General features: G+C 36.9%; 1 protein-coding gene and 1 long non-coding RNA gene across 27 annotated transcripts in view, besides 1 other annotated feature; both read left to right on the top strand.

The window, feature by feature from the left end:
* The window catches only part of PDE4D (phosphodiesterase 4D), a 1553091-nt gene that overhangs the window by 939506 nt on the left and 589110 nt on the right, over nt 1–24475 (top strand). The gene's annotated exons all lie outside the window — the stretch shown is intronic.
* Nucleotides 8823–24066, top strand: LOC107986347 (uncharacterized). Its single transcript, XR_001742409.2, has 2 exons — nt 8823–22157; nt 23830–24066. It is a non-coding gene; the product is annotated as an uncharacterized LOC107986347 (long non-coding RNA).
* Nucleotides 19075–19725: an enhancer, noted in NCBI's record as "OCT4-NANOG hESC enhancer chr5:58858724-58859374 (GRCh37/hg19 assembly coordinates)". NCBI's record gives its function as "activates a minimal SCP1, AML or CMV promoter by ChIP-STARR-seq in primed H9 embryonic stem cells {active_cell/tissue: H9 hESC(primed)}" and the evidence as "EXISTENCE:reporter gene assay evidence [ECO:0000049][PMID:30033119]".

Below are 24475 nucleotides of genomic sequence, written 5' to 3'. Positions count from 1 at the left end.
ATACTGTTTTATTCTGTTTTGATCTAAATCCTTTATGGAATGAAGCAAGATATAAATCAGTATATTGATAATATATTCATATATGTGTTCATAATTTGCATGTATATGTGTTTAAATCTACTAATATAATGAATACGTATTCAGAGAAAGTCAGAATGGCCTGCCTTCTAATGAAAAGATAATCCTTCCTATCTAGCCTCATAGAGTTTCATCTTTTAAGGTTTTCTCCTCTTCATACATTGAAATTACAGAAACTCAATCCAGAAGTGCATTTTCCAGAGTATGTGTTCTGACCAATACATTATATTTTATTAGAATTTTAGGGGGTGGGAGCAATATTGAGTTTGATGACTATGTATACGTTGAAGGAAATGACGTATCAAGTCTCATGTAAGATAATGGAGCTTTGCTCCTTTTAGTTAACTTAAAATTATTGCAGTGTCTGCTTGTCTTCCAGTGAAATTGCAGGTAATAGCTGACCTTGCTTCTTTAACATCTCTTCCTCTGGGTTACAGAACAACCCAGAAATTCTAAAATATAAATACCAGACTGCCAGCTTAATTCTGAATTCCTGTTGGGGCCAAATACAATTTACTTGTAAACACTTAGGACCAATAAAGTTTAGATGGAGCTCATAATTATACAAACTCATCTCGTTCACAAATCCCTAGGGCTCAATGTTAAAGTCAGCCATTGTTTAAGGCAGAAATTCAGGTTTAGATATAGTGTAGCAAAGATTTTCCATTATATGAGATATCGATCCTATTAAACATAAAACTTTTCTCTTGGCTTTCTATTTTACTGTCTTTTGTTGCCATCAGCTGTATGCCCCTTAATTTTTTCTAGTAATACCTTGGAATTTAAAAATGAAATTACAAATGTTTATGTTTTAGTGTTTTTAAAAATAATTCGATTAAGTATGCTATGATAGAGGAGCAAAGTTGTTATTAGTAATATCAATGTGCTTACAACTTATGGAAATGAAAAATAGTCTTTAGTCCTAGCAGCCTTTCTGCTGTAGTAAAATAGTTTGTGCACTTTAAATCGCTGTGAGGTTACATCTTCAAAGGACTGAGTGGCATAAGCCAGGGAGGTCTTAGAAATCTTACAAAAGGAAAAAAATAAGAAATTATTCCTCATCATATGAAAATTATTTACTAACAATGTATGATGTTTTAGCTTCTTTTAAATTCTTCACTTTCCACTCCTTTTTGCTTCTTCCTTTTAGTTGACTATTACTGAGTTACTTACACTAATGTTGAGGTATTTGGGTTCAGAGAAAAATAGGCAAGTAAAGGAAAATTGAAAATAGTTTCAAATTCTGAGATGCAAAGAAGAACCCAAAAAAACTAAACAACCAGTTTTTTATTGCCATAGGTCGAATGTTCCTTTTTAAAAAAATCCCTCATCCTTTTCTCTCCTCTTTCAATCATATCCCACAAACGTTAATGCTCATTAATACTCTGTCTAGCTATAGCATTATCCACATTTTTGCAATAGCTCAAAAATGTCTCCAAGCCATAACTGCTGCAACTGCTTATAACTTGATGGACTATTAGGTGACGTTTCCAGTTGTTTGAGAAGTACCAGCCTATAAACATACCCAAGACAATATATTACAACTAGGGATTATGTTGTGTAAAATTTATACATATATATCTCTCCATATATGATTTCAAGGATAGATAATCTAGAGTCTACATAATCAGGCTATTGGCTGGAAACATAAATAAACTAAAAAAAAATAATTTAAAAAAAGCACTCCAGGTTTCTAATTCAGCTTCTGGAGTGTTAATGTTTTGTGTGACCTTCTGAAAGCTCTTTGAGTTTTTACCACTTTTGAAAACTATTACAGCAGATATTTACCCACTTCATGTTAAGAAGTAGGCTATTAAAGAAAATCTCATAGCACATTGGTAATAACAATTTATTAGAGACCAGCCTGAACAACATAGTGAGACCCTGTCTCTCTCTCTATTTTTTTAAAGGTAGCTGGGCATGGTGGTTCATGCCTGTGGTCCCAGTTACTCAGGGAGGCTAAGGTGGGAGTGTCTCTTGAATTCAGAAGGTTGAGGCTACGATAAGCCATGATCATGCCACTGCACTCCAGCCTGGGCAAGACAGAAAGACCCTGTCTCAAAAAAATAAAAGAAGAATTTATTAGAATGTTGACAATGACATGCCAAAATCTCTTGTATAACTATCATATACTTCATGGAAGAGATCAACACTGTTGAGCACTCCTCTGCATGCCATATGTTTTCACATAAGTTACATCCTTTAATGGCAATATAACTTTCTGAGAATTTCTTATCCAAATCCCTGTTTGCAGATGAGGAAGGTAATGTTCACAGAGATTAGATAACTTGCTGAAAGTTCATATATCTATTGCTAGGGAAGCTGACCCACTCAAAACCAGGCCTGGCCTGATTTTAGAGCCCAATATATTTTTAATCCACCATATTGTTCTTGTGGCAGATGACTTAGCACTCTTGTTTATGGATCTTTTTGAAAATTAGATTAGCAGTAGACCAGAGAAAATAAGCAGATTTACCCTGTTATTTAGCAGCCTGGCTAAGTATGTAGGATGCTTACTGAATGTGAATAGCCTTTCCTTGAGAAACTCTTCCTTTTAATGTTAGAACAATGACCTATACTTAGACTGTGTCAGCAGCTCTTTCTGTATTTTCTCAGAATGAGAAATTTAAAAGGAATTTGTGGTGAACTCTGTTTCCAAGGTCACTGTGGCCTATAGGATCCTTTCACTAAAAAGTGCCTCTCTGGACGATATATTAGGAAAGGTGTCACACTTTGAACAGATGAAGTAGAAATGCAAACTACAGTACTTGGTGAATGGACAGAGCCTCTGTTCAAAGCAAAAGTCACTCTTCCCACTGGGTACACACTTGGTGTGTGGAGCATAGATGAATTCAGCTCTATTCACCATCTCTGCGGGGCATTGTTGAGCCCTGTTCAAACTGCCTATCTCTGGCCCTGCTTTGATACGGGCTCCAGCTTTACTTTGTGACAGATGAAATGGTTTTGAGAATGCTTTGCCAAAAATAAAAGATCATCCACATTTTAGGTTTTGCTGCCATAATTATTACTTTCTTCAAAATATTCAACTAATTGTATGTCTTTAAACTTCATTTTGTGCTCAAGTAAAGAATATTAGTATTATCTGAAATCAGATCCAATTGCCAAAGAAGCATTTTAATCATAAAATAGCCCAATTTCTGAGTTACTGAAAAATGTCATGGTTAGTGAATTATATTGGAACAGGTGGAACACACTGAGTTATTTATTCATAGGGGATGCCCAGATGAATGTAATAAGAGTCCTGCCTTGGAGATACTCATAAACTAGTCTGGAGAACAGCCACAGAAACAAATAATTACAGTATAGTATGGAGCATATTAATATAGATATATACAAGTTGTTACAGGAGTCAGAAGGAGAAACAACTTAACTGACTTGATCCAAATACCTTAAGTTTCAAAGTGAAAATATATTTGATGGATTTGGGAATTAGTAGTTACTGATAATACTTCAGAGAGTGGTTTAAGGGAGTGTCTGGGGGTAAGTTATATTTCAGGGGTAATAAAAGCAGAGAAAAGTTGTGCAAACTACTTCTTTCAAAATTTTGCTTAAGAACGAAGGAGGAGGAGAAGAAGAGGAGGAAAGAGGAGAAGGAGAGGAGAAAAACACAGTAGCTAGTGAAGAACACCAAGCACTTTTAAGAGTAGGAAGCATGTCCCTAAGGAAATATTCTGATACAGAGCTGGGAAACTTGTGGACATGACACCCTCTGGGATAGGGGGAGGAAAAGGAGGGAGAATGCAGATAATGTGGAGATTAGGTAGGTGGAAGGAGAGCCTGAGGGAGTTTTTGTTTTATGCCCTGTGTTTTCTCTGGGAAGTATTAAATGGAATTCAAGATCACATCTCAGAAAGAGGACCAGGGAGGAGCAGGTGGAGGAGCTTAGTAAGATGATGGAACAGCTACTAGGGGGAATTGGAAAGGTTATTGAAGAGAGAGTACAAGACAGTCAAACAAGTTGGAAAAAGGTCAGTGATGTTGAATGAATATATCCAGTCAATAAAAGACGTTTTACTCTACTTGAGAAATTATTTACACAAAGTATTATGTCAGGGAAATGAGTAGAGATGTGACAGAAATGTTACAATTCTTAATTATTAAATTTGAAACTGTTTTGTGATGAGAATGTCTCCTATGGATTGTGTTTCTTGGGATTCCAAAGAATACAGAGTTGATCTTAATTGTTGTTGTTGTTTTATTTGGTAGTGGTGGAAACTGTTTTATGAACATATTAATTAGATTGCAGTTCCATTTTCATGACCTGATTTTTTGAAAATGTGAGATTTCCTGTGCTGCCTTGAAATAACTCTTGGGTGACAAACAGAAGCTTTAAGATGTTTGCTTTGAATTTTATCTTCAAATGAATAAAAATCACAGTGGGAAGAAAAGCCAAAATGATTCAGCTTTGCTCCCTTTTTAATAGGAACCTTTCTGTGGTTTATGTTAGAATGTCACAAATCCATATATATGTAACCTGCTTTTACAAAAATTTCTTCAAAACCGCTATGAAGCTTACTTGAAAGTGTCACCAGTCTCTGAGAAATGTACTGGAAATAAGGAAACATAATATGACTTTAACCAGAACTGATGTAACCCAGTTTAAATATTTATACATTTAAATTCTCTTTTATGTCTCCAAGATAAATAGGAGAAAATGACAAATAAAATATGTAAGTTAAGGGATATTATTAAATAGCCTTATAATTTTCTAGGTCATGAGAATAAACCCTGGAGGATACTGTGACTTTAGCCAATATTATGAATTCCTTTCATCTCTTCTAATCATCTCAGCAGAGCTTCCGCTATTATTGTCAGCATTCAGTGCTCACCACTACTTTATACAGAGCTTGCTTTGTAGAATTTTTGCTGTGGCTCTAAAACTCTAAATAAGATTCTAAAAGTCTTAGTCACTTGTCAGGGAACTTCATTCTTCCTCTCCCTTGAGTCTCCATATTTTTCTTTTCTAAATATGAAAATGAGAAGGTTGACTTAACTGATCACTAAGGTGCTATAAAAATCTATGATCTTATATCTTACCTAGTTAATTTACTCATTTCTGTCTTATTCAGGCATAATTGTTCTTCCATTAAAGGTAATGCAGAGAAACCACACATAAATCAACAAACACCTCCAGGACTGAGCTCTGATGCTTTTCTCAAGTATTTGGCCTCTCCTATGGAATATCCTTAGCCTGTCTACCTTGGGTATTTTGCTTAATTCCTTCTCCACAAAACCTAACTTTAAATGGCAGCCTTTTTCATGGGGAAGACAGCAGCGTTATGCCCGTTAATGCTGATATCCACAGTATTTGAGAAAACATATTCCATATGCAACCTATACATTTCTCATATCTTCCCAACTCTTCTCTTGATAAAGGTCTCAGGCCCTTCCTTTTTCATATATCCTCCATTTAATTTAAGGAAATAACATGATATGAAGTCCTCAATCTTAAGAACCTTGTCATTGGGTTGCTCACTATGTTTAAAACAAATAATTGGCGTAATGATGGAGAGTCCCTTGATGTTCTAGAGAAGAAAGGAAAGCTAGCAATGTGACAGTGGGCAAATTGAGAAAACCGTAGTGGTATTGAGATCAGTGAAAGAGACCTCTTACAAGTCCTAAAGTAAGGCATTTGAGTCTTAAACCTTTGGGTGTGTTAATTTTAAAAGAAGAAAATATTTGTGGGAAAAGTCCTATTTTTTAGAAAATAATCTGTGCCAGATTTGATTTTTGAGAGAGGTTGAATGCTAAGTTGCCTCAGGATGTCATCATTTGAAAGGGTGACCACATTCTGTGAGATCTTCACTGCACACAACCTTTTGCTTCAAAGAACTTTCTGAGACCAAGCTAGCCTTTGAGACCAGGTATTAACATTATAATCTGTTCTATTCATTGCAGTAGCCACCTCGACTACTTTTTTCTACTTTATACCACAATACCCAGCATGGTGTTGTACTTAATAGGTACTTTTTAAATTTTTTCTTAATAAATAATTATGTGTACAGAAAAGAATGATAAATAAAAATTATATTGTCAGGGGAAATTTTAATTAAATAACTTTATATTTTTCAAATAATGTTATTGTGCTATGTTTTGAGATAAGGTAGGGTCGTATGCTATAAAAAATAATACAGATAATAACTATCACATTTAACAGGTTATCCATTCCAAGTATAGACTAATTTTTTTATAGACATCATTTTACTTAATCATCCCCCAAGTCTGTGGCAAGGGCTTGTTATCTACTTACTAAGGGTGCAACCTTGGGTCACTTATCTAACCTCTCCATGATCTGTAACATAGGGACAGTAAATAGTTCTCATTGCATAGGGTTGCTGTGAAGATTAAATGAGAAAACCAGTCTAGTGCTTAGAACACCTGTCACTCAGTAAGTATCCAATAAATATTGTTATAGTACAGATTAGGCAACTAGCTGTGAATGGTTAACCAGGTTGCCTAGGGTAATCAGTGGCAGGCCACTTCCAACCTAGATCTTACCCATTAACTATAGGTTGCTTGGAGGTCTAAACTGCCTCTTCTATATCACATTCTTGTTCAGTAAATACAGGGACAATACCTTGGGTTAAGTTTGAATTATGAGGGATAATTTATACCTCCTCATCTCTCAAGCCTCAGCAAGAATCGACTGATGTGCCCTCCCATGTTGAGTCAGTGCCTACCTTATACAGGATGGATTTTCTGTTTATGACTGTCTTACTCAGGCCCTGCTTCATTAGATTCTCTGTTCTTAGCACAGTGCCTGACACATAGTAGGTGCTCAATAAAATGATTTTAGAGTAAACATTACTTTTCCAGAATTGTGTCCTGGGAATTTACGGCTTTTAATATTAATTTCAGGTTTTTAGGATATAGCCCATGTTTTTGGGGGGATAGATACTGTTTCTATAAAAATTGTCATCTTGAGCATAAATAATTCCCACATATCTTGATTTCTGTCACTTGGGAGAGTTTAACTGGATTTGTAGAAGCAACCATCCTGCCGAACTGGGTGTATCTGTAAAATCTAAATGCTATTGCTACAAATCACCTTATCTAAGACACCATTTCTTCAAAACTAATAACTAGCTCATTCACTTTCATATAGGAATCTTTCTTTCCTTGAAGATATGTATGTTTTATCTTGCTGGTGAGATAAAAGTCTGTAAATTATCTCCACAGCTGGCTCTGATGCTTGATTATGCCCCTTTCTGCATCTATAACATTGATGTTTCATTTTAATTACTTTTCATCACAGTACATGATGTGGTCTTCAGACATAGACCAGCCTCTACGTGTGGCTCTTCGTTCTTTTTATACATCTTTCACTGTCAAACTAAGCTCTAAAAATCATCTCCCTAATATCTCTTCACTTGCCAAGAAAATGTACTAGCTTTGTATTATATGTAATACAGCATAAAGCTCTGCCTCATCTGGCCTCCTCCTTTCTAGTCTCATTGTAGAAATGATAATTTTTATTAATATTATCAGTGTTAATTAATTTCTCTCATTATTCTAGCATACATATCCTATATTTGAGTTTTTAAATATATCAATTCTTTAGTATAGTGGTTATAATCACACTATATATGTATAGAATGAGGTTTTATTCTCACTTTATTATGAAAGAGTATCAATAACTATTTTATATCATTATATGTAGTTTTGTCAGAGAACATCCTGAAAAATTAACTTCAATGTTTTAAAAAGCCATAGTTCTCAGTGTGATGGAGATGGTGAGGATTGGAGAATGTCATTAGGGAAGGCAGTTGTATCATTTATCAGAAATAACTGCAAGACTTTGTTGGGGGGAAAGTAATAAGGAGTATGAAAATCTGGAGGTTGAAGAGTGGGTAGGAAGAGGAAGTGACAGGTATATTTTGATAAAGCATTCGAGGGTTTCATACCTCTCTCTCTTAACCAGTAGTACAATGCAAGGGAAAGATCCCATGCTTTAAAGCTGTATTGAACCAAGTTCAAATTCAACTCTGATGCTGACTGGTTAACTTTGAGCAAATCACCTTTTATGAGCATCACTTAACTCATTTATAAGAGAAAAATAGAACAGTTCCAATCACCCAGATTTACTGTAAGGATTCAATGAGATAATACATTATTTAATTTGTCATTTTTAAACCGCAGCTTTTCCCAGGCAGCATTTAAGACAACCAACAAAGTTATATGTGCATAACTTATAGGGAGAATGTTGATGAAGGGCAAAGAGAAATAAGGTATGATGTTCCTACTCACATATGTATGTAATAGTTAAAAAATATATATATATATATTACCTTTACAAACGGCACCAGAATCCTCTTGGGGAAGGAAGAAAAATGTCTTTGCTAGAAGATATTTATATATATATATATATAAATATATATTTATATATATATATATAAATATATATTTATATATATATATAAATATATATTTATATATATAAATATATATATAAATATATATATTTTTATATATAAATATATATAAATATATATTTTTATATATATATATATATATATATTTTTTTTTGAGACAGAGTCTCCCTTTGTTGTCCAGGCTGGAGTGCAGTGGTGTGATGTCATCCCACTGCAACCTCTGCCTCCCAGTTTCAAGCGGTTCTCCTAGCTCAGCCTCCCGAGTTGCTGGGACTACGCATGCAAGCTGCCACACCCAGCTAATTTTTGTATTTTTAGTAAAGATGGGGTTTCACCATGTTGGCCTGGCTGGTCTCGAACTCCTGACCCCAGGTGATCCACCCATCTCAGCCTCCCAAAGTGCTAGGATTACAGGAGTGAGTCACTGCAGCTGGCCTAGAAGAGCTATTTTGAACGTGCCCTTGGGATAGGAAGAAAGTCCCTGAGGATCTGACTATAGGTAGGTGCTCAAGTGCTCTAAGGGTGAAAACTTCTCTGCATAACAGAAGAAGAATTTAGTGCTAAAGAGCCAATGAGAATGATGGAGATGAGGCAGAGAAATTAGGAGAGAGGACAGGATGAGGAAAATTCGCCCTGGGAAGGCTGAGAACTGCGGGTATACTCCATAAACAGATCCCTCCCCAGTACTGACAGTGGTTCGGTGGGTGAGGGGTATTGGGGAGGGTACAGGGAGTTGCTAGGGGTGGGAAGACCACTAATATATGTATGTCTTACTTGAAGCCTCAGGAGTACCTGAAGTAAGTGATTTTGATGGTGTTGGTGGCATGTGAATCAAAATGAGCTGTGTTGTGTTGGCAAAGCAGGTCAATGAGCCCAGCCTTTAGGAAATTATCAGAAATTTAGAGGTGAGTTTTGGGATTCTTACTGGTCATGAAATTAGGAAGTTCAAATCAATTTTGTTTAGATCTCAAGGGAGGCAGAGGGCCTTCCATCTTTCAAGAGTTAAGCAGACCATGAAGTCCAAGGGTATGCAAGATGGAATGTAAAGTTCTCACTAAGCTTCCTAGGATCCAGGGTAAATCAGGAAGCTTAAACACAAATCCCCGTGTCCATTGGATAAACAATTTGATGGATCAGGGAAGCACACCACTTATGATACTAAGATCAGAAAGAAATTTGTCCTAAGTTGTGCATAAAGATTAATGATATACATATATAAATCATGGTATCTGCTCAACTTAGTGTGTTTGATATATTTTAGTTCCTCTCCTGTCCCTTTTTTCCCCTATGGATTTCTGTGGAAGATTGTAGTATATTTGAAAGTTCTTTGAAAATTGTAAATACTATTGTTAGTTTATAATTAAAAGAAAGCGGCCGGGCGTGGTGGCTCACGCCTGTAATCCCAGCACTTTGGGAGGCCGAGGCGGGTGGATCACGAGGTCAGGAGATCGAGACCATCTTGGCTAATATGGTGAAGCCCCGTCTCTACTAAAAATACAAAAAATTAGCTGGGCGTGGTGGCGGGCGCCTGTAGTCCCAGCTACTCGGGATGCTGAGGCAGGAGAATGGCGTGAACCCGGGAGGCGGAGCTTGCAGTGAGCCCAGATAGCGCCACTGCAGTCCGGCCTGGGCGAAAGAGCAAGACTCCGTCTCAAAAACAAAAACAAAAACAAAAACAAAACAAAACAAAACAAAAAACCTGTGTACCAGATTTCATTAAAATCTGATTAAATACTATTAAAGAAAGTATAATAAAATAGATAGTATAAGAAAAGGATAATCCAAATAAAAAATATGTTTCTTATTAAAAAATGGTATGTCTTGCCAAATTTTGAAGTTAAAAGCACAGCATTCTCACTTCTTTAACCCAACTTATAGCCCATTATAGCACTAGATTTTAGAATCCTGAGTCCTATGCCATCTGTAATGGCAACAGTCTTACAGGGTGATACAACCTTTTGTAATTCTTAAGGAGACTTGAATTTTTGAGGCAAATGTTGAGTCTATACGTGGACATTTGTTGTGTAAGAGTGGAAGTGGAAGTCAAAATTCTGAACAAGGTTGCTCCCAATAAGATCTGTCAGCTCACAAGATTGCTTCCCTAGGCTTGAAATGTTTCAAGCACAAATTCAATTCATAAGGAAAATGAGAATCATGAAAATGATTATGAAATAGCAAGCAGTCTGGAAAGAGGATGTAGACGAATGCCAAAGCTTCTGGAATTTATGAAATATTTCCATTTATGGGGCCAGGTGAAATAAGTTGTTCTTTCAGAAATGTGTGACATGGCTATTATATATTATCCCCCTAAAACTATTTGATCATAAAACAAAACAACAAAAACAAAAACTGATAAACAGCAATGACAAAACAACTAAATAAAAAAGAAATGCAGTTCTTGAATACAGGATATAAAGGCTCAGTGCACTTTTTCATTTTCTTATTATTTCTTTTCCCTGGCTAGGTGAGTTGGCTGTTTTATATTGGCACTAAGAGTTTGATACCACTACTAGAATAGTCAAGTATTTGACCTGGCCATGAGTAAAAGATGTTTGATTGACAGATGAGTCTATCTGTGTCAAACAGCTTTACCTTGAGAAAAATCACAACTTTGAAAGCAGTAACACTTCAAAAGAATATTGAAGATTGTGGCCACTTTCCCCCACCTCTCCCCAAAATCTATCTTCATTCAAGTTCATTATAAGCAGCTCCTTTGGGTAATTTGGGTTGCGTGCTTTCTCCACCCCTTCTGTATCCTTGGCTTCTTCAGAGCGTCAATCAAGACAAGCAAAAGATTCAAGAAAAAAAGGGAAATGACCTTTCAGTACCTGAGTCTTCACACCAATTCATCATTGCTAAGTGCTCCAAAACTGCTGAGTACAGTATTTAGGAAGTGTCCAGTACATCAGCCTGGCATATATTGTTCTTAACTTGAGGTTACTAATGCCTATTGCAAATGTGCTTTACGTCAGCCAAATGATGTGTTTAAAAACCTCTATGTCTAGCATGAAGAAGAATCTCTTTCATTCTCATGTTACCTTAAAAGATTTTCATACCAATATACATCAGGGAGGAGCAAATTTTTGTTTCATATGTTACACATGTTATGGTGCACATGAAGACTGGAAACGGTAGTTATTTGTTGGGCATGTGTATGAATTAGTATGTAAAATACACAGCATTTTTTTCTCTTCTAAGTTACTAAATATTAGATATTTAATGTATTTCTTTTGCTTTGCTAATTTATTCAAATGTAATCCTGACTAATCCATTATTTTGTTAACATGTCTACTTGATTAATGTGTTTTTCCCCTCTTCTAATTCTGATCCACAAATTTTATAGCTATTCATTGTATTACTTAATCTAAGTCCACTAAAGATTATCCTTATTCATGTTTCTCCATTAAAGACAACGATAATATCATTGAGTTAGCTTAGTTCGGATAGAAATTTGGCTAGCATTCATTATTTGATTTTCTTGGAGTTTTGCAATTTTTTTTTTTTTGCATATTTGTCAACATTGTATACTCCTGAAAGCATTGTGTTTAAAATACCTATTTCTTGATCAGTAGAATTGATATAGCTGACTTACACGGATCAATAACATGATTTTAAGAGCATTTCAAGGAAATCTCTCATCTGCATTGTCTTTTTTTCTAACACAGTTTGCACTATTTACAAGTGAAAATTTTATATTACTTTACATATTTTCCTGTAAAAATTAGAAAACTGTATTCTTTGGCACCCGAATGTGTCCTTGAATTATTAATTTGTTAATTTTGTATGACATCCTTATTTATTAGAGAAGCAATAATATTTCTCATGGGAATGCATGTATTAATACTTTCAGAGGTCCAGAAAGTATCAGGAGATTAAATACTGAGATTAAAGAGTACTCTCTTCCCACTATTATGTTCAGTTCTGATTTTCCAGCTGTGTAGCTAGAACAAAGAAAGAATGTGGGTTTTTTTTAAAGAATAAGACAAGGCTAGAAGGTATGCCCTTGTGAGGGCGCCACTGACTGTGTCATCACAGGAGGGCCCTGATACATGAATATTCGGTCTCCAGGAAGCCAAGTATGATATTCACAACCACATAATAATGTGCTAACCTCATTCACGGTAATCACAGATAATGTAGTATTTGTGTCTGCCATACAGTTTTGAAGGTAAAATATGGAACCTATTTTGGAAATTTCACATAACATCTTAAGCTGTATTAATAGAACCAGAATAACCCAAAATAAAGAGGTAATGAATGCACTTGACCCTGCATCATTCAGACCTCAGCTGGAATATTGTGCTTCCTTTTGGGCTGCAGACAAACAGAAGAGGACTCAGGAGAGTGACAAGAGAGGAAGCAAGCTCATGCCTTGTCACATATAAAGTGGTTGAAAGACTGCAATTGTTAGAGAAAATGATGCAGTAATTGAAGGATGGGTACTGGGAAGAGGCTAGTTCTTTGAGGCTGCTAATCTGAAATATAACAAGTGGATGCACCTGCAGTAAAAGAGATTAAGCCCCAGAATGAGTCTGGATGTTCTAATGGTCAGAACAGGCATTTCATATGACATGGCCTGCATTGGTCCAGGTGGCGAAGTAAGGATGGACAAACATGCGTTGTTTGCAATGATAAAAAATCATAAGTAGATGATAACATTGATTTGCTGAAATTTTTCTCTTTTTTGTTTGGTGTAAAACTTTATATGTCGTACTTTTTGCCTTGTGGTTTTTTTGTATCTTAGGACAAAGGTATTCTTAATCCCTTTCTTTGTCTTCTTGAAAGATGCAACCATGCAGAAAATGCATACCTCCTGTAAATTGTTTCCTGTCTTTTAGTAAACCTTTGTTTAAATGAGTCATATGTTTAGCAATTTTAACATTTTAACTTGGCTCTAATTAATGATAATATAGCGTGATTTATGGTCTTCTAAAGAAATGTAGACATAGAAAATGGAGATAGAGGTTAACATGTGAAGAAGAGTTTGTATTTTGGGTTAGAAAATTAAATATTGGCTTATGTCAGTAAGATTAGGCCTTACTATTTGATTGTACGAGTTTACTTTAAATTTCTAGGCTTTCAGGGCTTTGTAAAGATAAATTTTATTTTAAAACAGCTTTAGATTTGCAGAAAAATGGCAAAGATAGTGCAGGGAGTTTCCATATACCCCTCACCCACTGCCTTTTATTAAAGTCTTATATGAGTATGATACTTTTGTTACAATGAATGAACCAGTATTGGTACATTATTATTATTTAAAGTCCCTATTCATTCATATATCCTTAGTTTTACCTAAGGTTCTTTTTTTCTATTCCAGGGCCCCACTCAGGATACCACATTGCATTTAGTTCTCGTGTTTCATTTATCTTTGCTATAGAATTTTCTCAGATTTTCCTTGTTTTTCATTACCTTGGCAGTTTTGAGGAGTACTGATTAGGTATTTTGTAGAATGTCTCTCAGTTGGAATTTTCTGATTGATTTTTCATGATTAGACTGTAGTTAGTGTTTTGGGGAGAGAGACCACAGAGGGTAATGTGCCATTTTTCCATCACACTGTCAACATGACTAAAGATGTTAACCTTGATCACCTGATCGAGGTGGATTTGGTCAGGTTTTTCCACTATAAATGTATTATTTTTCCTTATTTTTATTATTTTCATACCTACCCTTTGGAAGGAAGTCATGATAAACAACCCACACTTAAGAGGGTGTTATACTCCATCTCCTTGAAGGCAGAGAATCTACATAAAATATTTGCAATTCTTCTCCACAGAAGATTTGCTTATTCTCCCTCATTTAATTATTCAGCATTTATGTATATCAGTATGGACTCATGGATATTTATTTTATGCTTAGGTTATAATCCACTACTGTCATACTAATCGTGCTGTGAAATTGTTCCAGCTTTGGCCATTGGGTACTATTTCTTGTGTCCCTTTGATACATCCCCACAATTGTGGTGGTTTTGTTTTCTGTTTTTTGTTTGTTTTGTTTTGATGCACTTTCATCCTTTCTAGCATTACACAATACTTGAGGCTTATCAACAATATAACTCCTTCCTCATCATAGATTCAGCCATTTCTCCAAGGAGCACACGTTCCTTTCATTGGAAAATGGTATTAAAAACCAAGATTTGAGCAATAGGTGTGTTCATTGTTTTTGGGTTGTCATTTCCTTTTGGCCTTCTTGGCTGACAGAGCAAGGACATATATTTGTGTATACCAACCTGTGTATGTACACATATCTAACAATCAGGAAGCATAAATAGATAGATGATAGATAGATAAGCATTAGTTCATACTGATATTTTCAAATCTAACTCATTACCACATGGGTCATTCTAGCTTCTTCCTCTTGCTTATCTATAATCTTCCACTCCAACAGTGAAAAACTACCATCCATCATTTGCTTACTTAATTGTTCAATTCCAGTGGTGCTGTTCCATTTATCCTTACTGAAGTTGAAATACATAAATATAAGCTGAATTTTTCTCAAACCCTTAGAAAAATTATTTTTCCCCCAAAATGTTTTTTACCCTGCAAACTCTTAAGATTTTAAAATGTATTTGTGTCCCAAATGTTTTTCTGTACATAAAAATTGATATAGTCAACTTTATATTGTTTGCAGTTAACTTGGGACATGGATAATGGAAATTCTCAGATAATTCCACAATTTAAGTTTATCTCTTGCTTTCATTATTTCTAATCAGCATACTCTCCATATGACAACTATATCTATGATAAGAAAATTGACTTCTTTACCTATAAATCTCTGTACTTTCTTGACAGACACCAAAGAACTACATGTTGACTGTATCTTGCTGGTAACTTAAGGAGAATAGTAACTTGTAGTTTCCACCTTTAGCAACTGGACATTGGCCATACTCTGATTTACCAAGAGAGTCCTTGTAATCACAAAGGAAAGCAGCGATTTGGCTTCAGATATTAAAGCAACTTTTTTTGACGTGGCTAGATGGTTAGGAACACACTGAAGAATAGATTTTCAGTAATGAGCCATACTTTCAATGAACGTCCCAAGGAAAACAATTTTAAGATCTTGCATAAAATAGTTCATATGCCTCAAATTTGCATTTAATTCTTACATTAGGTTGAAAGCTCATGTAGAAAACATGTAATGTAAAAATTGGAGAGCCCAAGAACACAGTCATTTCCCCTTGGGTGCTAACAAAAATATACTACCCAACAGTGCCTTTGTTTGCAGTCTAATATTTTAGAAGGAAAAAAAGACCCCACAAGCAAACATGTTTTTTTTTTCTTAGTCCAGAAAGAAGAAATACAGTGTGAACATAATACTTAGGGTAGACAAAATGGCCAAAATAGATTAAGTTGGCATCCTTTTTAGCTGCAGCTTCCTTAACCTTGTACCACACCCTGACATCATCTTCCTACATGGCCACACCTCATCCCCCCATAGCCAAACATTATTTGCATTCATCACTCATTCGTAGATGCCAAATCAGACATGGTTCTTGCCCCTATGGAGTTTATGATTAACTGGGGAAGACATGCATTAATCAAATTCTCTTTCTCTCTCTCTCTCATTCTCTCACACACACACACACACACACACACACACACACACACACACACACACACATGAAACTGTGACTGGATCAGATGCTACGGGAGAAAGACACACAGGGTTCAAAAATCTGTGAAGGGTTTTTTTATCTGTTCAGGGAAAATCAGGAATGTCTTCTCTGAGGATGAGTAGTTCAGGCTGTGATTTGCAGGATCAGTAAGAATTAACCAGGAAAAGAAGGCAAGAGAGAGAACCTTATGTGGTGAATGAACAAATGTTTAATATAAAGGCAGCAGAAGAGCCAGGGTGGAGGCAGGCACAGAGGTGGGAGATAAGGCTCTGGTGGCCATGCTAAAGATCCTTACTTCACCCTGACAGTGATGGATCATCACAACATTTCCAAGATCAAGAATGCACTTCCCATCTGTGTTTCCTCTAAAGTCAAAATATGGCCCATCTTTCAAAAGGAAAATTCAAATGTTACCCATTCAGTCTTCTAACACTTTCATTTCCTAATCTAATTAGAAAAGATCATTCTGGCTAAGAGGTGGTATAGTAGTTTAACCCACCCACTCATATGCATGTGTTTGTATTTATATATAAAATTTTATTTTCACATTTCTTTTTCCTAGTGGCATTAGCAAAAGCACTCCCAGTTTCATTGAGTCTCTTTTAAGTTTTGCTTCCCCTCTCCTCCTCTCTTCACTATGCTCTGCTGTCTTGGTGTCTCCCCACTACTCATGTACTCTCCCTCCATTTCTCAATTCTCATATGAGGGGAGGTGCCCCAGAGGGTGACGAAGGACAGTGTGGCAGAGGACAGGAGGAAGAAAACATAGGCACAGCTGCACTTCAGCATTCTGAAGCTGTAATCATCCTGAGCATCTGTCCAGGGACTTCCTTGCCCAGTTGCTTTGCCATCTGTACTTGAAGCCAAGGAGCATCAGGTGCTTTGCCTTTCCTCACCAGGCTTACGCCATAGCCTTTTCACCCCACTACCCACACCTCCCAGTGATGCTGCAACTATTTCTCCTCTGGGCTCCATGCAGTAACTTTCTGGGTTTTTTTGGTTGTTGTTTTAGAGCATTTTTGTAGACAGGGTTTTACTCAGTCATCCAGACTGGAGTACAGTGGTGCAGTTATGGCTCACTGTAGCCTTAACCTCCTGAGCTCAAGGCATCCTCCCACTTCAGCCTCTCAAGTAGGTGGGACTACAGGTGCAAACCAACATGCCTGGCTCATTTTTTATTTTTTTGTAAATATAGGGTTTTTCCATGTTGCCCAAGTTGGTTTTGATCTCCCGGGCTCAAGCGATCCTCCTGGTTCAGCCTCCCAAAATGTTGGGATTATAGGCATTATCCACTGTGCCTGGCCCAGTAACTTTCTAAATAGTGTACAGGCCTCCAGTCTCACCACCTGTCCCATTCTCCTTCTCTTTCCTTCTGCAGAGACCTAAGAGCCAAGCGGAGCCCATCTCCTTCCTACACATTCTTCCAGCCTCTTTAGGACCTGATTTCACAACCTCATGTGCCACACCCCAGCTGCACCCTCCTGGTGGAAAGTGTTTTGCAGCTTCTTAAAGATATCATTCTGCTTCATTCATCAACCTTTGTCCATGGTGTTCCTTCTGACTAGAATGTGTCCCCCAACCCCTTTGCCTGGTGAGACCCTCCTCTTCCTTTGAGACCCATCAGAAGGCTTGTCTCTTCTTGGAAGCTTCTCACCCCACTCCAGTGCTGCATCCCTAGTTTCTGTGCATCCCCTGCAACCTGTGCATCACTTTTTCAAACATCGCTCCTCAAGTAGCATTGTGCATGCTGTTTTCTTGCCTTTCTCACTCACACAAATGGGAGTTTCCTGGGGGCCCTTTGTCATCACCACCTGCCTGACTGGATACACTAACACTCAGCCTACCTGCCACCTACTTGGAACCTTACAGGTGTTTCTTTGATTAATTAATTAATTCATGTTTTCTCCTCTTCTGGTCAGTTCTTCCACTTTACCTGTGCTTGTTTGGATATGCAGAGCTCTAGCTGGCGAGAGTGTCCTTCTGGCTAGATTGTCTCACCAAAAAGAGAATGGGTTTTCCCCATCCGGGTGTCTCTTAATTTTTTCTTCCACTCGTGTTTGGACAAAATTATTTATTGACTGGAAGGACCACATGGCAACTCTTCATGGCTTTGAGGCCCCTTAATGAGTGTCCAAGGGAGATTCTCTCTCACTTCCAAGTTCATGGCAGACATTTACCTACCCAGTCAGCTTGAACTGAGCTCATAGAAGTTTTATTTCTGGCTTTTGCGGATCATTTTTTATGCTGTTCCTCTCACCTGAAGCTCCCTTTCTATCTCTCCCTAGTTGGATAATAGTACACATATTAAATGTGTACCTTGTACCAAGTATGCTGAGACCTGCTTATAACTAATTTTGCTTGATCTTCATGAATAGTGTTTTGAAATAGCATTTTTCTATCCCTGCAGATAGGAAAACTAGAAAACAAAGAATAAGTAACTTCCCCAAGCTCACATGACTTGTAAGTGGCAGAGCTGGGATTTGAACCCAAGCCCCTCTGAAGCTAAAGCCTGTAGAGTACATGCTCCCTTCCTCCACATCACACTGCCCCTGCTTGTTCACACTCAATGTGAGAATCCACTTCTCAAGTTTGTCTTGCTTATTCCAACCTGTTTTGCAATGAATCTCTTTCAACAGCTCTATAGTTCCTGGCACTCACTTGGCATCCATCATTTTCTATGTTGTCATGTTTGGTATCTTTTCATGTATGTAATGTGCATCTCTTCTTAGGAGTAAGACCAGAACTTTTCTGCTCTGCAGTTTTCTCCCTGTGAGGGATGGTGAAACTTGGTGGCTAAGAGCATGGTTTATACAGACAGACTTCTTAGGTTTATATTCTGGCTCTCCTCTGTACTTGCTGTATCAGCTAGGGCTGATGTCTTCACTTTTTTATGATTCCATTTCTACCTCTGTACAATAAGGCAAATATGAATACTTACCTCAGAGTGTTGTTGTGAAGATGGAATGAATTAATGGCCATAAAGCACTTACAGCTGTGTCTGGTACATAGTGACCACTCACTAATGGTCACTTATAATTCCTTCACAACCTGTAAGGGTCCTTTCCACCCAGGTGATGTCCCTATGTCTCAACTGAATGACTGGTTAGGGATATCTTTCCATGGGCTACTGTGGCTGCAGATAATTGCATTCTTATTTGAGAGTTATGTTAACTAGTGTGGGCTTTTATTTGCTTCTCTCTTTCTATCAATGAGTCCTGCTGCTTCAACCCTGGGTTAACTGAAATTTGAAACCTTTTTCTACTCAAATTCCTTTGATGCTGAAATTCCTCTGCGGTCACAGCTAAGCACTTTGTGTGGTAACCTTCTCTTCTGTCCTCAGGCCTGCTGAGATCATCTGCTCAGCAGCATGTCTGACACCTGTTGCCACCTCACCCAGCCACTTCCTTGGTGACCTGGCAATGCCCAGAGGGGCCCTGCCAGCTTGGAGCCCTGTGGCAATGCTGTTTGATTCAGCAAACTGATAGCCTTCTGACATCCTTTCTTCATTTTAGCAGCCAAATCACATGCACCTTAATATTTATCAATAGCTAAGCAACACCGGAAGGAAGTGAGACAGAGCCTCTGGGCTAGTCACTATCTCTGATTTTACAGAATGGTTAAGCCAGGTGTAAAATATCTCACAATAACATGCCCTGTTGTCCTGAGGATTCAATTCCACCGAGATATAATTACCATATGAGGAAGTGAGAAATAGGGTTTCTTTCTAATACACAGAAAATAGAAAATAAGATGCTTTTCTTGGCCACTGTTATCAGTTTCCTGTTAAGGTTCTGCTTTGTTTAAAACAGTCCTGTTTTGCTTAAAAACAAACTCTAAGGAATTTTTCTAAAACATGACTCAACCTAACTAGGTATATATACTGTACTTTAAAGTGAACATATTTGAAATAATTGTGAGTGACAAAGAGACGGAAAAACATAGATTTTGAAACTAGCATTATTCTAATGATTTTTATCCCAGTGGTTTATTTGGAAATGAATTTCCATTCACAACATCTTCATTTGTCTTCTAATTTTCATGCAATTTGAAAGGGTTAGTTTCCTTACCCACAGGATCATCCTGGTCAAATCTCAAAAGATTGGCTAGGGCATTCTGATTTTACAGGCAAATTTATATTTTGCCGTTTCAGGAAATAATTCCTTCATGGTTATCTTTTATAAAGAGCTTATTTGTATAATATATACACATAGTATATATCAAATAAAAGATCTGGTGTTATAAACATAAGAATAAGCAATTTCCCTTTTGTGATAGGAATATGAAATTCCTTCTGGTAGAGGACGTTTAAGAGCATGTCCAAAGAATGGCTAATCAATGAATTCTCTCATTTTGTAAGGAGACACTTAGATGCATTTCTGAAAAAAACAAAACAAAACAAAACAAAACAAAAAACACTTTGGGCTTTCTCTGTATTCTTCAAGCATTTCTAAACATTTATTGACATATGCAGTAGAGAAAAACTGGTATCAGGAGGAAGGCAGTAAGTAGCCAGCAGTCACAAGGTACAAAGAATAAAATGCATGCAAACATGTACAGTATTCACTTTCAGGAGTTAATCTACATTTTATTTAATTTTTTTTTTTTTTTTTGACAGCGTTTCACTCTTGTTGCCCAGGCTGGAGTGCAGTGGTGCGATCTCAGCTCACTGCAACATCTGCCTCCCGGGTTCAAGCAATTCTCCGGCCTCAGCCTCCCAAATAGCTGGGATTACAGGCATATGCCACCATGCCTGGCTAATTTTTTTGAATTTTTAGTAGAGACGGGTTTTTGCCATGTTGGTCAGGCTGGTCTCAAACTCCTGACCACAGGTGATCTGCCTGCCTCGGCTGCCCAAAGTGCTGGAATTACAGGCGTGAGCCACCATGCCTGGTCCCTTTTAAAATATTTTAACACTGAGACCATATTACTGATGTACTACTTCTTTCTAAAAGTAATTAGAATAAATGTACACCCTCTTCTTTAAACTTTGCATTTTTCAAATTTCCAAAAACAAAAACTAATTATAAGTAAATCCATAAGCAAAACGCTGTTAATTACCACTTCCAAAATCTGGAAGCGGTGACTTGCTTTACTAAGACAAGAAACTTTAGACAGGTGAATACTTTTAACAAGGAACACACTTAACTTTGTCTAATTGAGCAAATTACAAATCAGAGCTAGTAGCTTGTTAATTATAAGAATATCTCCATTACTTGAATACGTGTACTAGTCATGGTAGGCAAAATAATACTCCAATAACGGACGACCCCACTGTGGATCTGAGAACCCCGCAGGCCAGCAGTCTCCATGTGATTGCCAAAAGCAATGCCGCCATATAAACCACAGGTGTCTACCTTCACCATGACAGAAGAAAGGGTTAGAGATTCCAGAAGTCACAATTAAATGCTTCCACCCCGAAAAGTGGATCATATTTCATTTTCCAAAGCAATGCAACTTTGTTAACCTCAAAGAGGCAGGGAAGTACAATTTTCCTGTGGGGTTGGAAGAAGAAAACTGGAAATTGGTGAACAGTTTTGAAATGTCTGCCATAACTTTTAAGTGAGGAACTTAGTGTTCTCTTACTCTGTCATGTTTTTAAATATCTTTTTGATTGAAATCTTTCAAGGCTTTCCAGATCCCTGAAGATAAAATACAAACTCTCCAACAAGACCTTTTGGCCATCAGGAACGCAGCACCTGGCTCTCTCACTAGTATCCTCTCTCTGTTTGCCATGTCCCATTAAGACTGTCTCCAGAAACAATGAATTTATTGTTGCCTGTTTCCTGCTAGCTTTTCCCCGTATTTACACAGTTTGCTTTATCTGCTGGGATTACCCTTCCCTGACTATGCTCAATCTCTATCTCCCTTGGCAATTCTCCTCCAGGCCCCAGACCTGAGAACTGGACCAGTGCTCTGCTCTCTCCTCTGAGCTTCACCACATCCTGTGAAAACTTGAACCTAATTCTTACTAGGTTTTAATCAACTGTTTACCTGTCTTTTCTCCCCACTAAAGATGAAAAGTCGCAGAGATAGCGGAGAACAAGAACCAGATCTCACAGTCATGGTGCCAAAAGAGTATCTAACCCTGAATTGGAGTTCAATACATACTTGTTGAATGAATGAGTGAGTGAATGAATGAATGGGTTTTTTTTGTGCTTTCATCTACCTGATTGGTAGCATATTCAGGACAGTATGTTTTTCTCACCTTTTTACATGCTATAAGACATAAAACAGATAATGCGTGTAGTGGGTTCATAATAAAGGTTTAAATAAACTTTACCTACAGTTTTATCACTAGGAATATATTTCTGATATCTATTACCTTTGAACTTTTTATGCCAGATTATGTTTAAAAACATGGTGTCACTCGTAAGCCACATCTGGGACTGATTTTCATGGATTGATTAAACTTTACATTTCTTCGGAGTATTCACTGCCAAGCCCTCTGGTGCCATGTCCTAAACCAAATATTTCAGAAACATTGCAAAACAAGGCTGCCCTTGTGCTTTGGAAACGCTTTCAAATGACATGCCATTCCTTTCAACTTGAATCTATTAAAGACTTGAAATTGTAGCAATCCATTGGACTATATGTCAAGAAACTGGTATTTTTAAAGGGTGGCATGTTTCTTCATTTATATGTAAATTATTTCCATGTGCTTTGGAGAGAAAAATGGAAATTTTGTGAACGTACTTAGCCCTTAAAGAATGTGATTGATCCTTGATGATGTCGTTCCAGACAACAACAAATACACAAGAACTCTTTTTGAGTGCTGTAAGAAGCTTCTCAAAATTTCCAGTATAATCCTAGGAAAACATTTTTTTTTAATCTTTTCTAATCAGGAAGTCTTTAAAGTGTATTTTATCAAAATGTTCAGTATTGTGGAAACATACTCATGAGCTATTAGCTATAGCTGACTTTTGAGGTTATAGGTGAAAAGTTTTCACATCAGGAAGTTTCATGTAGAACAACCAGCGTCATTCACGCTCATATCTGTGGCTTATATCCAAGAGGGCCACTGGAGGCTTAGGGGCTTTGAAGTTAACAGCATGAAACTTCTCCAAAACAAACATTTAATTTTTTTCTGTTCGTTTCCTTAAACAAAGTCCATGTAATAAATGAAATAATTTTGAAGAACATTGTAATGAATCCCACATACCAGTGGGTCCCAAATTACTGGAAATCATAACATGGCTCATGTGAAGAAAGAATTATACTATTTTCAAGCTGTTGTATGTTAAACTATTATAGTAAGTAGCATAATTGGCATATATTTTAGGCCGTATTTTCAATAAATCAATATTTTTGCTCAAAAGGCAAAATTTAATAATTTAATAATCTCATAAGGTGAAGGATGGACAGGTACCATGTTAGGAATTTGACATGTGTTGTTGCTAATAGACTCATTTAATAAATGAAGTAAATGATATTAAGCAGTTTCCTCATGACCACAGAGCACAGAGCCATAATTTGATTTAAATATGAGTATTTCTGGCTCATGCTCTTTCTCTTTCTACCTATTGCCATTAGTGAAGGCTGCATTTAGTTTTTTTTTCAAGAAGTGTCTAGCTTACAATTTTGAGCTTCACTACCCCCAACCTCATACACACCTCATGTGGCTTAGAGCTATATAAAATCCATGTTTTTTAAATACTTCTAAAATTGGACATTCATATTATGTGTATGATGTTTTACATATAGTATGAGTGCAGTGAAAGTTAGTTTCCTTAAGTTTTCCTGAATTCAGCTGTTACCCTAGCATGACTGCTTCAGCGAAGAGATAAGAGCTTCTTTGACTTTTTCCACTGGAATTTTTCATGCCAGAAGAAATTGAACATGTGAGCCTGGTGTCTGGAAGAGTAGCCTGGATTTATGGTATCAGATGCACATTTTTAACACCTTCAGTTTTCTCTTTAAAATATCTCTTCAATCCCTTACTTTTCTCTATTTGTTTCAACATTAAAATATGTTATTTTTCTTCAAATTGTTGGCATTGACACCTCTTCTACAATTCCCAGTCATCTGCATGCTACTGCTTCAGAGGAATAGTCTTATATATAGAAAATACTTTTTTTTTCTCAGCACATTTATATCTAAACAAGAGAATGATATGCTTTTACCCAGTTATCTGCGTGGCTCACTTCCTTCAAGGCTTCACCCCAAAGCTACTTCAATGTAACATTTTCTATCCATTAGATTGAGAACTGCAGTTTTAATCCCTAACCCCACTCCCAGACTCCCCTGCTAAAGTTTTCTCTATTGTCCTTGTCATTTTCTGATATACCTTCTAATTTACCTATTTATTTTGTTTAATATTCATATCCCTTCGACTGGAATGTGAACTCCAACAAAAGTTCATATTTATTGTCTTGTTGTATCTCCATAGCTACAGT

Source organism: Homo sapiens, chromosome 5 (genome assembly GCF_000001405.40).
Source record: "Homo sapiens chromosome 5, GRCh38.p14 Primary Assembly".
NCBI classification, from domain to species: domain Eukaryota; kingdom Metazoa; phylum Chordata; class Mammalia; order Primates; family Hominidae; genus Homo; species Homo sapiens.
This window is presented reverse-complemented; position numbering and strand designations above follow the sequence as displayed.